General features: G+C 40.9%; 1 protein-coding gene and 2 pseudogenes across 2 annotated transcripts in view; 1 reads left to right on the forward strand and 2 right to left on the reverse strand.

Moving 5' to 3' along the window:
* The window catches only part of UBXN7 (UBX domain protein 7), an 84,766-nt gene that overhangs the window by 47,567 nt on the left and 23,452 nt on the right, over positions 1–13,747 (reverse strand). The window contains exons 2-3 of one of the 2 annotated variants that reach the window (NM_015562.2): positions 12,018–12,165; positions 7,724–7,791 (exon numbers count right to left, since the gene is read on the reverse strand). In NM_015562.2, the coding sequence (NP_056377.1) occupies positions 7,724–7,791; positions 12,018–12,165 (216 nt within the window). The remainder of the gene's footprint in view (positions 1–7,723; positions 7,792–12,017; positions 12,166–13,747) is intronic. The other variant, XM_011512671.3, reaches the window with a different exon arrangement.
* Positions 2,280–2,550, reverse strand: RN7SL434P (RNA, 7SL, cytoplasmic 434, pseudogene; annotated as a pseudogene).
* RN7SL738P (RNA, 7SL, cytoplasmic 738, pseudogene) lies at positions 4,683–4,979 on the forward strand (annotated as a pseudogene).

Below are 13,747 nucleotides of genomic sequence, written 5' to 3' on the forward strand. Positions count from 1 at the left end.
GTGTTTGTGATTACATAGGATAATTCTTTATATCCAGAACTACCGAGTAAAAGGCAAAACAAAGCAACAAAAAAATGCACAACATATTAAAAACTTCATTTTTGTTTAAAACATATATTCATATGCATATCATTCCTGTGTATATGTGTATGTTTTTATGTTAAACAATCACACTATCATCTCTGGGAAAAGAGATTTTGTAATACACTGTCATGTTTTATTTTATTTTTTTTTGAGACAGTGTCTCACTCTGTTGCCCAGCTGGAGTGCAGTGGTGTGATCATGGCTCACTGCAGACTCCATCCTCCTAGGCTCAAGCCATCCTCCTGCCTTAGCCTCCCAAGCAGCTGGGACTACAAGTGTGCAGCACCATGTTCAGTTTTTTTGTTTGTTTGTTTGTTTGTTTTTTTAAGAGACGGGCATGTCACTATATCGCCCAGGCTAGTTTGGAACTCCTGGGCTCAAGGAATCCTCCCATCTCATCCTCCCAAAGTGCTGGGATTACAGGCACCAGCCACCATGCCCAGCCTGAATTAATTAATTTATTTATTTATTGCGACAGAGTCTCACTCTGTTGCCCAGGCTGGAGTGCAGTGGCATGATCTCAGCTCACTGTGACCTCCGCCTCCCAGGTTCAAGGCATTCTCCTGCCTCAGCCTCCCTAGTACGTGGGACAACAGGCATGTGCCACCACGCCCAGCCAATTTTTGTATTTTTAGTAGGGAGGGGGTTTCACCATGTTGGCCAGGCTGGTCTCAAACTCCTGACCTCAAGTGATCCACCCGCCTCGGCTACCAAAAGTGCTGGAATTACAGGAGTGAGCTACTGAGCCTGGCCTGAATTTTATTTTTAATTTAAATATTGCACCCTGTGTCGCTCTCTACCTTCCTCCCTCCCTCCTTTCTTCATTTCTATTCAAGAAAAAGCAAGAAATGTCATACTTTTCAATCTTAGAACTATTTTTGATCAAGAGCTCCTATTTCAAATGTACATGGCCTCTAGCAGGAATAATATAGCCTGCCAAAGAATGCCTCTAAAACTAGTTATCTGGCCCTGGTGCAGTGATGTGCGCCTATAGTCCCAGCTGCCCAGGTGGCTGATGTGAGAGGATCGCTTGAGCCAAGGAGTTCGAGTACAGTCTGTGCAACATACTGACACCCTGTCTCTTAAAAAAAAAAAAAAAAAATTAACTTTTTAAAAATAACTAGATATCTGAAACTTTTTAACTGTAACAATTAAGAAACTGGCTGGAGGCTGGGCATGGTAGCTCACGCCTGTAATCCCAGCACTTTGGGAGACCGAGGTGGGTGGATCACGAGGTCGGGAGATTGAGACCATACTGGCTAACACGGTGAAACCCCATCTCTACTAAAAAATAGAAAAAATTAGTCAGGCGTGGTGGCGGGTACCTGTAGTCCCAGCTACTCGGGAGGCTGAGGCAGGAGAACAGCGTGAACCCAGGAGGTGGAGCTTGCAGTGAGCTGAGATCGCACCACTGCACTCCAGCCTGGGCCACAGAGCGAGACTCCATCTCAAAAAAAATAAAAAATAAAAACCAAGGATGTCTTAGAATAAGAATAGCTGCCTAAGAAAGTATATTATTTTAGGAAGGTAGCACATAAAAGGTAATTTTCTTCTACTTTTAAACTGCCAAAGATAGGTTAGTCAATATTCCACATCACCTTTCCAACCTCCCCCTTCTCTATAAGGGACTGATCTCCGTATACTCACTAGTTCCTCTTATTGCTATCCTTCTACCCAATTCCTTTTACTTCTTGGGCTAATAACCCTCTTCCCATTTGTCTTCCCTTCGTTTACCCTATTTCTAAGCAAAAACCTCTCCTCAGACCACACCACCTCTAGCCCTAAGACTATTACTGCTACCTGCCTTTTCAATGTGGTCTCCTGGCTCTTCCAAGCCGTCTGCCACAAGGAAACATCAGTCCTCTGTCCTCACTCTACTGCCCACATAATAGAAGTACTGGTCACTGAAGCCAAAGAGACTAAGCTATAAAGAGCTAAAAGAAATTCAGGAGCTTCAAAGTCAGCATAGGGGAGGGACAGGTGGAGAAAAAATGTAGTGAGAAGAGTGGCACTGTTTTACATGTCCACATATCTGTTCGTATTTGGCTTCAGAGAAGACATCTGGATCTTCAGATCTGCTTCTGCATTCCTTTAGATCTGCTGCTATTCTTTTAGTTCAAGTATAGAAAGAAAACTAAAATTTACTCTCACGCAGACACGCAGTTGTAAAAGGGAGTAGTGGGCTTTTTGTTTTAAAAGATGGGGGTCTCACTATGTTGCCCAGGCTGAAGGGCAGTGGCTATTCACAGGCACAATCCCACTACTGATCTGCACCTGCTCCGTTTCCTCTTCCTTAGGTCATCTGGTGTCCTCCACTGCTGGCAGGTCACCATATTGATTCCGAACTTAGTGCAGACACCCAATCAGCATAGGGCCCTACAGCCAAGAACTCCTGGGGCTCAAGCCATACTCCCGCCTCAGCCTCCAGAGTAGCTGAGACTACATGTCTGTGCCACCATACCCAGCAGGGAGGAGTGTTTTAAAGTCTTAGATGATTGTGGATATTCCTCTTTAACAGTACACCAATACTTAACCAATGGTAGTTTCTTAGAGGACAGCTGCAAAGTGGAATCTGAAATCTTATCAATGAGTTTTTCATACTGTTTCATTAAAACCCACTGTACTATGTGGTAGGCAGTGTCTAAGACAGCCCCCAATTTTCCCTGTCTCCCAGTATTGATAACCTGTGGGTGAATACCTTGAGTACAGGCAGGATTGAACAGAATGTGGCAGACATGATGGGATTTCACTTCCAGATTACGTTACAAAAAGACAGTGGCTTCCGTTTTGGGCTGCCCTCTCTGGCTCTCTCATTTGCTCTGTGTTAAGAATGGATGCCCCCAGGCAATAGCCACATGAATGAGTTTAGGAGATCCTCCTCCATTCAGGCTTTGAGATGAATGGTAGCCTAGCTGACATGTTGACCACACCTTTGTAGGAGACCCTAACCAAAGGCCACACCCAGATTGCTGACCCAAAGAAACTGAGATAACAAACGTTTGTTTTTTTCAGGCAGTTTAATTTTGGAACAATTTTTCACTCAGCAATAAATATCTAATACAATTCATCTCGCAGTCTGAATGGATCTTTTACCTATGCACAATTTTGTAGTATCATGCATTGGTTATTCAAAAATACTTGTTTACTGAGTAATGCAAACATTTCAAATATTAATGGTTTCATTACACAGTATTTTAAAAATCATCTGTTTCATGTCACCACTGATCTTATCAGAAAGCCTTCAAGTACTGGGAAAGTATCAAGCTCACAAAGGTGGGTACAAAAAATTTTCTAAAATCCTGTTTTTTGCCTGAAAGCTCTTTTGTAATTTATCATTGTTTTTGAGATGAGGTCTGTCATCAGTAGGCTGAAGTGCAGTGGTGCAATCATGGCTCATGCCTTGACCTCCCAGGCTCAATCCATCTTCTCACCCCTCGGCCTCCTGAGTAGCTGGGACTACAGGCATGTGCCACCACACCCAGCTCATTTTTTTCTTAATTTTTTGTAGAGATGGGGGTCTCCCTATGTAGCCCAGGCTGGTGTGGAACTCCCAGGCTCAAACAATCCTCCCGCCTCAGCCTCCGAAAGTAATCCCAAAGTGTTCGGATTACAGGTGTGAGTCACCACGTCCGGCCAAACCTCTTTTTTAAAATCACTGATAACAAACACTCTCAGTTGTATTGAAGTAACAAGCTCACATTTTCAAGAAAATGCCAACTGTCAAAGTGTAAACTGATAGTCTGTCAGCGATTTTTCAAGTAAAAAGAATGTTCCATGAAAAAAGCTGCCTACTTCAGCTCGCTACTCTAACAATCACACAAGTGCTTTTCCTTAAGGTAATCATAGTACTTCATTATGCCAAAGTGCTTTGTGCATACATCCTATTTCAAACAATATTTTAAAACTGTGTACTCAAGGATCAGGATTTAATGAAATTAATCATTTTTATTGCTTCATCAAGAACATTATTAAAGAAAACTGCTTTTAAATTAATTTATTATTTTTTTTTGAGTTGGGGTCTCAATACGTTGCCCAGGCTGGTCTCAAACTCCTGGGCTCAAGCAATCCTCCCGCCTCAGCCTCCCAAAGTGTTGAGATTACAGGTGTAAGCCACTGCAACTGTCCTATTTATGTTTCTTTTATAGACAGGGCCTCACTCTGTTATACAGGCTGCAGTGCAGTGGCATGATCATAGTTCACTGCAGCCTAGAACTCCCAAGCTCAAGCGATCCTCCCACCTCAGACTCCCAAGTAACTAGGACTACAGGCACGTGCCACCATGCCTAACGAATTTATTTTTATTTTTTGTAGAGATAAGAGTCTTCCTATGTTGTCTGGGCTACTCTCCAACTCCTGGTTGCAAGTGATCTGTTCAACTGTGGCCTCCCAAAGGACTGGGATTACAAGCATGAGCCACTGCACCTGGCCCTGCCTTTTAGATTTTTTTTGTAAACTTCAAATATGCAGCAGTGAAGAATTCACTATCTAGTGATACAGCCTGAAGCCACCACATGAATTCAACCAAGATGCCAGCAGTCTGACTCATCATTGTTTCTGAACTATCAGTCTAAATGTCACCACAATGAAAATAATTTGATGTCCAGTATAATGGTGCATGCCTATAATCCCAGCTACTTAGGAGGCTGAGATAAGAAGATCACCTGAGCCTAAGAGTTCTGGCCTGTAGTGTGCTATGCCAGTCAGGTGTCTACACTAAGCTCGACATCAATATAATTACCTCCCGGAAGTAGGGGGACCACCAGGTTACCTAAGGAGGGGTGAACTGGCCCAGGTTGGAAACAGAGGTCAAAACTCCTGTGCTGATCACTAGTGGGATCACGCCTGTGAGCAACCACTGCACTCCAGCCTGGGGCAACACAGCAAGACCCCATCTTGGGAAAAAAAAAAAACCCTTAGTATTATTACGTAAGTTGTTTTAACTTTACAGACAACCTGAAAGGGAATATTAGGGACCTGAGCCCACACCTGAACTGTGATTTAAATCAATACTGTCTTAAGAAAATAGTTTCTAAAGACCCATTTCAAGTTATAACGTCTAATAATGAAAGGTAAGAATGACTTCCTAACTGTAAAAAGTCATTCTCAGTGTCGTCCTTACTGTACACCAATTCAGAGATAAAAAAAGGAAGAAAGCGGCCAGGTGTGGTGGCTCACGCCCGTAACTCCAATATGGGCCAAGGCCAAGGCCAAGGCAGGCAGGAAGCTTGCTTGAGATCAGTTCCATAGCAGCCAGGGCAAACAGCAATGCCCTGTCTCCACAAAACAAAACAATTAGCCAGGCGTGGTGGCATGCACCTATAGAAGGCTGAGGTGGGAGGAATCCTTGAGCCCAGGAGTTTGAGACTGCAGTAAGCAAGGATTGTATCACTGCACTCCAGCCTGGGCAACAGACTCCATTTCTGCAAAACAAAAGAAAAAAAAAAGAGTAAAGTGGGGCTTCCAAATGGAATTCTTCTGCCTCTGTTCAAAAGCAATACAGCACAGAATTTACTTCCTATAGTCCTACAAAGACGCTGTATTATTCCTTGCAATAAAGAGAAGATAAAGCTTCCAAGGGCATTACTCTTTTGCTCCAAATCTATTCCTAGCATTTATATTTTTAAAATTATGAGCAATATGGTATATTAACAGCATAATGACTATCTGCAGTGAGCAGTCCAGAAAGCACTTCATTACACTACAGTATTCAGACTTTACAGCTTTCCTCTTGCCTTTTATTTCCAAATCTAGACAGTATATTCTTTTGTTTCTTGCTATAATAAACACCAAAGCTGCCAAGTTAAAAACATTTATCTCGGCCGGGTATGGTGGCTCATGCCTGTAATCCCAGCACTTTGGGAGGCCGAGGCGGGCGGCTCACCTGAGCTCGGGAGTTCAAGATCAGCCTGACTAACATGGAGAAACCCCGTCTCTCCAAAAAAAAAAAAAAAAAAAAAAAAAAATATATATATATATATATATATATACACACACACACACACACACACATATATATATATACACATATATACAAAAAATAAAAATTAAAAAAATAAATAAAAAGGTTTATCTCATAAAAACTCTCAACTAAAGTACTTTATCAAAAGACATACATATAATTTTATTCATCCTTTTGTTACAACGTATATTTCCTCCTCTTAGTTTACCGATGAAGGCTATGTATGTATTATCCTAAGTGAATTAATGCAGGAACAGAAAGCCAAATACCGGACGTTCTCATAAGAGAGAGCTGAGTACAAACAGACACAAAGAAGGGAACAGACACCAGGGCCTGGTTGAGGGTGGAGGGCGAGGATTGAAAAAAATACCTATAAGCCAGGCGTGGTGGCTCGCTCCCGTAATCCCAGCACTTTGGGAGGTTGAGGCCAGAGGATCGCTTGAGCCCAGGAGTTTGGGACCAGCCTGGGCAACATAGCAAGACTCCATCTCTATTTTAAAAAAAAAAAAAAAAAAAAAGTAAAGAAAGGAAAGAAAGAAAAGAAAAGAGAAGAGAGAAGAGAAGAGAAGAGAAGAGAAGAGAAGAGAAGAAAAACTACCTATTGGGTACTACGCTCATTACCTAGGTGATAATCTGTACACCAAACCCACGCAACATGCAATTTACCCATGTAACAAACCTGCACATGTACCCCAAACCTAAAATAAAAGTTGGAGGGAAAAAAATTTGTATGTCTCTTGTACTCAATTGTATTTATTTATTTATTTTGAGAGAGAGTCTTACTCTGCTGCCCAGACTGGAGTGCAGTGGCAGTATCTCGGCTCACTGCAACCTCAGCCTCCCGGTTTAAGCAATTCTCATGCCTCAGCCTCCTAAGTAGCTGGGATTACAGGCATGTGCTGCCATGCCTAGCTAATTTTTGTACTTTTAGTAGAGATGGGATTTTGACATGTTGGCTAGGCTGGTCTTGAACTCCCGGCCTCGAGTGATCTGCCCACCTCAGCCTCCCAAAGTGTTGGGATTACAGGTGTGAGCCACCTCAACACAAAGTATTTCTCTGCATTAACTGTTCTCAATATATACTATATACAGTTTTCTGTCTTGGTCTGCCCAAGCAGATTGTAATTCCATCTTGTATTTTTTTCTATATAAACTCATGATTAACACAAACTCTTTGGCTTACAAAAGGGAAATAAATGCTTAACGATAAATTAATCTGATTAAATGTCCCATTCTCTATCGCCAGTCTCTATCCAGATTCATATCACAATTTTTCACATGAATGAGGGGTTACTGTGCCCTTCATCCACATGAGGAACAGCACTTCTACAAACTAAGAGAGAAGGTAAGGCATATCTAGAGAGTAAGGATATGGCAGTCAAGTAGGTATCCAGAAAATAAAAATAATCAGAATCTTTTCATTATTCATTCCCATTACAAGGCAGTAATTCTTTTTGCTAACGTCCCTCCTTTTGGCATTTTCCAACAAATATCAATTTTTAACATCTGCTTCACTCTTTGTGAGTCAACTGTGCAACTTTCTTGACAGGACTATAGAAAAAATAAGAAATGACACCACACTTCTAACAGTCTCCTAGCAAGCCTTCACATCTTTTGATGGTTTCATTAAAATCCTAAAGAACAAAATCAAATAAGGCTAAGGGAAAAAAGTGAACTTACCACCAAATAATGGTTCTGGTTCCACCAGTATTTCCTGCTTTTGAGGAATTGGGGCACGAACTTCTTCTCTATTAAAAAAAAATGGGAAAATAAAAAATGAAAACTGTTTTCTGCTACCTGTTTGCTTTCTGTAAATACTGTGAATATATTCAAATTAACGTAGTGACTTTTAGAAGCACAGTAATAATAAGTTTTTGTGTTGCTATTTTTTTGGGGGGGCGGTGGAGACAGTGTCTCACTCTGTCGTCCAGGCTGGAGTGGACCGACACGATCTTGGCTCACTGCAACCTCCACCTCCCGAGTTAAAGCAAATCTAGTGCCTCAGCCTCCCTAGCAGCTGGGACTACAGGCATACACCATCACACCTGGCTAATTTGTTTTCATATTTTTAGTAGTGACAGGGTCGCGCCATGTTGGCCAGGCTGGTCTCAAACTCTTGAGCTCAAGCAATCCACCCACCTCAGCCTTCCAAAGTGCTAGGATTACAGGCATGAGCTACTGCATCCGGCTGATAAATGAGTTTTAGATAGTTTCCACATAAAGCTCAAGTGGAAAAGAGTACCTGGCATATATAGCTCAAATGGTTTGGAAATAAAAACAATTTCCCCTTCCCTCTCAAGTTTCCTACCTTAAATTCTGTCAGAAAAAAAGAAAAAAATTTTCCCCCAAAAAATCAGGCAGAAATGAACAGAAAAATATAGGCTTAATAGAAGCAATATCACATTACTACTATATCAAAGAATAATTAAATCACAAGGACATATTAAAATAAACTTTAAAAGGCAGTGAATTTCATGCTAATTATGAAAGAGGCTAACAGGTATGATCTTGGATTATTTACTAAAAAGATCCTAATATACAGAACAAAAAAAGTAATTACTCATCTTTTAAAAGCCTATTTTCTTCAAAGTTTACATTCATAGGGTTTACTGATAATCCATCTCTTCCAATAAGAAAAAACTCATTTAGATATACTGTAAAAATGGTGTGTGCCTTTAAAGATTAGTTTATTTTAGGTTGGGCATGGTGGCTCATGCCTGTAATCCCAGTACTTTGGGAGAGGAGGCAGGAGGCTCACTTGAGCCCAGGAGCTGGAGACCAACCTTGGCAACATAGTAAGACTCCATCTCTAAAAAAAAAAAGAAAAAGAAAAAAAAAAATTACTTTGTTTTACAGTTGTAACTCAACTATTGAACTTTGCTGATTAATGTTCACAGCAAATAGTAACTTCCTAATTCATTATCTTCCTGCTTATAAGTATTATTATATAAGCATGCAAATTCCATATAAATTTATGTTAGCCCTAATGGTTTTTTTTTTTTTTTTTTTGAGACGGAGTCTCACTCTGTGGCCCAGGCTGGAGTGCAGTGGTATGATCTCGGCTCACTGCAAGCTCCGCCTCCCAGGTTCACGCCATTCTCCTGACTCAGCCTCCCAAGGAGCTGGGACTACAGGCGCACGCCACCACGCCCGGCTAATTTTTTGTATTTTTAGTGGAGACGGGGTTTCACTGCGTTAGCCAGGATGGTCTCAATCTCCTGACCTCGTGATCCGCCCACCTCGGCCTCCCAAAGTGCTGGGATTACAGGCGTGAGCCACCGCGCCCGGCCAATGGTTTTCATTCAGGTGTTCTGAACAGTATTAACTAAAGATCTTGTTTTTGACATTTAAGTGTTGGAACTCCAAAACATCCTTTATGAAATGAAGTAGGAATACTCATTTGTCAATAATTACATCCTGTAATCAAAGAACAACCAGTTAAAGAAATTTCCAATAAACCAAGTGACAAAAGGATAATTCAAAATTATGTTAAGTACCCTTTCCTACTGCTCACACACAAAATTTCGATAATCTGAAGAAACAGACGACACATCTATAAGAGTAAGCTCTGTCAATCCTTTCATCAAAAGGAAATAGGCCAGCCAGGCATGGTGGCTCACACCTGCAATCCTAGCATTTTGAGAGGCCAAGGCAGGTGGATCGCTTGAGCTCAGGAGTTCAAGACCAGCCTGGGCAACAAGGCAAAACCCCATCTTTACAAAAAATACAAAAATTAGTCAAGTGTGGTGGCATGCGCCTATAGTCCCAGCTACTTGAGGCGCCGAGGTTGCTTGAACCCGAGAGGAGGAGGTTGCAGTGAGTTGAGAGCAGTAAGCAGAGATCACACCCCTACATTCCAGTCTGAGTTACAGAGCAAGACTGTGTTTTTAAAAAAAGAGTTAATTATCTTAAGAAAACTGGTGCACACAGTGGCTCACGCCTGTAATCCCAGCACTTTGGGAGGCCGAGGTAGGTGGATCACGAGGTCAGGAAATCGGGACCATCCTGGTCAACGTGGTGCAACCCCATGTCTACTAAAAATAAGAAAATTAGCCGGGCGTGGTGGAGTGTACCAGCAGTCCCAGCTACTTAGGAGGCTGAGGCAGGAGAATCCACTTGAACCCAGGAGGCAGAGGCTGCAGCAAGCCAAGATCACACCTCTGCACTCCAGCCTGGCGACACAGAGAGACTCCGTCTCAAAAAAAAAAAAAGAAAAGAAAAAAAAAGAAAGAAAGAAAGAAAACTTTTACCTAAACAAAACTTTCCATTATTGTTATACCTCGCTTTACAGTGTGTGTGTGTGTGTGTATATATATATAATTGTCTCAATCTCAGACAACTCAGTTGTTCTATAAACAAACTTTAATCTGATGAAATGCATCAATTAGAGGGGTGGATTAAGTAGTACACTTGTCCTTACACGAAAAGACTTGATTACTACATTATCTGAGGGTATCTGTACCAAGACTGTCAGCTACCAAGAATGGAAGGATGGAACAGAAAAAAGTGAATAAAGAAAATCACACTTTAGGAATTAGGAGCCATTATCAAATGTTAATCAATTAGCAATACAAACTATCTAAGCCAAGTTATATATAGGGCAATTCATTAGGAAAAGATATTCATTTATCAAAACTATTTTTCAACACAATTGAGAAAACATGTTTTATACAATGAGGATAAATATGCTCTCCCAAAACAACTATGAATATTTGCTATTCAAGTTTCTGTATTAGGTGGTTTTTTGTGTTTTTTTTGTTTTTTGTTTTTTTTTTGAGACAGGAGGCCTCACTCTGTGTCATCCAGGTTGGAGTGCAGTGGCACAATCATGGCTCACTGCAACCTCAACCTCCCAGGCTCATGTGATCCTCCCATCTCAGCCTGCCAAGTAGCTGGGACTACAGTCGCGTACCACCACACCCGGCTAATTTTTGTATTTTTTGTAGAGACAGGGTTTTGCTATATTGCCCAAGCTGGTCTCAAACTCTTGGGCTCAAGCCATCCTCCTGCCTTGGCCTCCCAAAGTACTAGAATTACAGGCATGAGCCACCATGCCTGGACTTTTTTTTTAAATATTAAGGTTTTCATACTGATTTCTGTTAAGAGTTTGAGCTATATTGGGAGCGAAATACATGGCCAACATTAACAGAAAAAACTCTACACAATATTATTTTTATTATTTTTTTGAGACAGAGTCTTGCTCTGTCACCCAGGCTGGAGTGTAGTGGCACGATCTCTGGTCACTGCAACCTCTGCCTCCTGGGCTCAAGCAATTCTTGTGCCTCAGCCTCCCGAGTAGCTGGGATTACAGGCGCATGCCACCACGCCTGGCTAATTTTTGTATTTTTTTTTTTAGTAGAGACACGGTTTCACCATGTTGGTCAAGCTGGTCTCGACCTCCTGACCTCGTGATCAGCCCACCTCGGCCTCCCAAAGTGCCGGGATTACAGGCATGAGCCACCGCGCCCAGCCTAGCTTCAAGCATTTTTCATAGCAACTCAAAACATTTCTGTGACAATGTAGAAAAACCTAAAATTGGGAAATCTGAACTTTACTGGGCTCTACTGCTACTTAATTGCTGTGTAGCTTGGGGAAATGGCTATGCCTCTGCTTCCTTATTGGTAAAATGTTGATAATGCCATCCAATAAGGTGTTTGTTTATTTGCTGCTGCCGTGAGGCACACAGGCCCTGCTGGCCACGGGCCAATCCTAGCAGAGCACCACCACACACTCCAACCAACCCCATCTCCCCGACTTCACAGAGCCTACACGGTTCCTTTGAGGATTAAATAAGCAAGACAGTACTCTAAAGAATTTAAAGTATGTAACTACAAAAATTTCCACTTCATACTTTTTCAGAGGCTTTCAGCCTTTCATTTATTTCAAAACCAGAGAATCGACCTAGCTTTGATAAAAATGCAACTACTTAATTTAGGCAATGGATAGCTCCTGACAACACATAATAAATTCATACTCTGTGTGTGGTCTGACAGTAGAGACACTTGCTGAACTGGTACTGGGCTCTTCAGCGATTCCTCCACCATCCAAAAACATAGTGACTGCCATTTCCAGATTATTGTTGCACGCTTCAAGCATATGTTTTCCTACACTTTCACTTGCACCTGAAACAGTAAAAAGACAGGAAAAACGTTAAAAAAAAAAAAAAAAAAGACAGCCTCTTTCTTCAGCTCATATTAGAATTCCCAAGTAAATTAATAGTATTTTTCCCTTTTAGAATGAATGACTTTCTTGTGAAATACACAGAGCTAGAAAAAAATGTAGACATTCTTGAAGTGAAATACAGAGCTAGAAAAGAATTTAGCAGCATTAAAGAGTAATCATCCTTCATAATAAAACAAAAACTAAATAAAGCATTTTTTGGCCATTTCTTTGGCCATTTATTTAAATGGCCAAAGTATATATTTGGGAATAAGCTGAAAAAAGATAAAGAAAAATGAAAGACTACATTCTAGAAAGTTAGAAATGCTTTGTTAGAAAGAATACATTTCAGTTAGCATTTCTGTTTCTGTTAAAAAGAAAGCATCAGGCTGGGCGCAGTGGCTCACACCTGTAATCCCAACACCTTGGGAGGCTGAGGCGGGCAGATCACGAGGTCAGGAGTTGGAGACCAGCCTAACCAACGTGGTGAAATGCCGTCTCTACTAAAAACACAAAAATTTGCCAGGCATGGTGGTACACACCTGTAATCCCAGCTACTTGGGAGGCTGAGGTAGGAGAATTGCTTGAACCCAGGAGGCAGAGGTTGCAATGAGCCGAAGTCACGCCACTGCACTCCAGCCTGGGCAACAGAGCGAGACTCTGTCTCAAAAAAAAAAAAAAAAAAAAAAAAGCATCTTTAATACCAATGGCAAAGAAGTGAGATGGAACATTTTTTGTCTAAGACATAACTAAGTCAAAATCTGGTAAGAAATGTCAATCTTCATCATTTAAAAATGTCCCTATTACAAATGTACTCATTTGTAAATAAAGTAAAGCTAACAGAGTCTGCTAAATGAAATGTAAATTGGTAAGGTCCTTTAAGACAACAATTTTACAACATGTATTCCAGAAACAAAAATACTCATTCCTTTTTTGACTCAGTAATTTGGGCTTCTAGTCAAAAGAAAATAAAATCTACATAAAATACTATATGCATAAACATGTTCATACACATGTCCAGCATAGCTTCAGTTTATATTGAAAAGTTGGAAATAACATAAATGTCTAGTGATAGAATGTAAATTGAACATTTTCTGGCCACTAAAAAGCACCTCAAGCTTTCCATTTGGGATGATTTTTCTTCTATCTGAATTATGTCCCTTAGAATCTCCTTCTCTTGGTGGTAAATGCTCTTAAGTTTTTGTCTGCAAATGTCTTTATTTCGCTGTCATTCCTGACAGTTTTACTGGGTATTCCATTTCAAAGCTGACAGCTATTTTCTCTCAGAATATTGAAGACAGCATTCCAATGTCCTCTGGCTTCTGTTGTTGCTGCTGGGAAATCAGTTGCCAGACTAAAGAAAAATGTTTTTATAGCAATCTGTTGTTTCTAGTTGCTTTTAAGACCCTCTGTCTTTAGCCTTCTGCAATTTCACTCTGATTTGTCAGGGTGATTTTATTTATCCTCTTTGGAATTCAATGGACTTCTACCACTTGAAGATTATCTTTTATCAATTCTGAAAAATTCCCAGTGATTTATATTTGA

The sequence above is a fragment of the Homo sapiens genome, chromosome 3, assembly GCF_000001405.40.
Source record: "Homo sapiens chromosome 3, GRCh38.p14 Primary Assembly".
NCBI classification, from domain to species: Eukaryota; Metazoa; Chordata; class Mammalia; order Primates; family Hominidae; genus Homo; species Homo sapiens.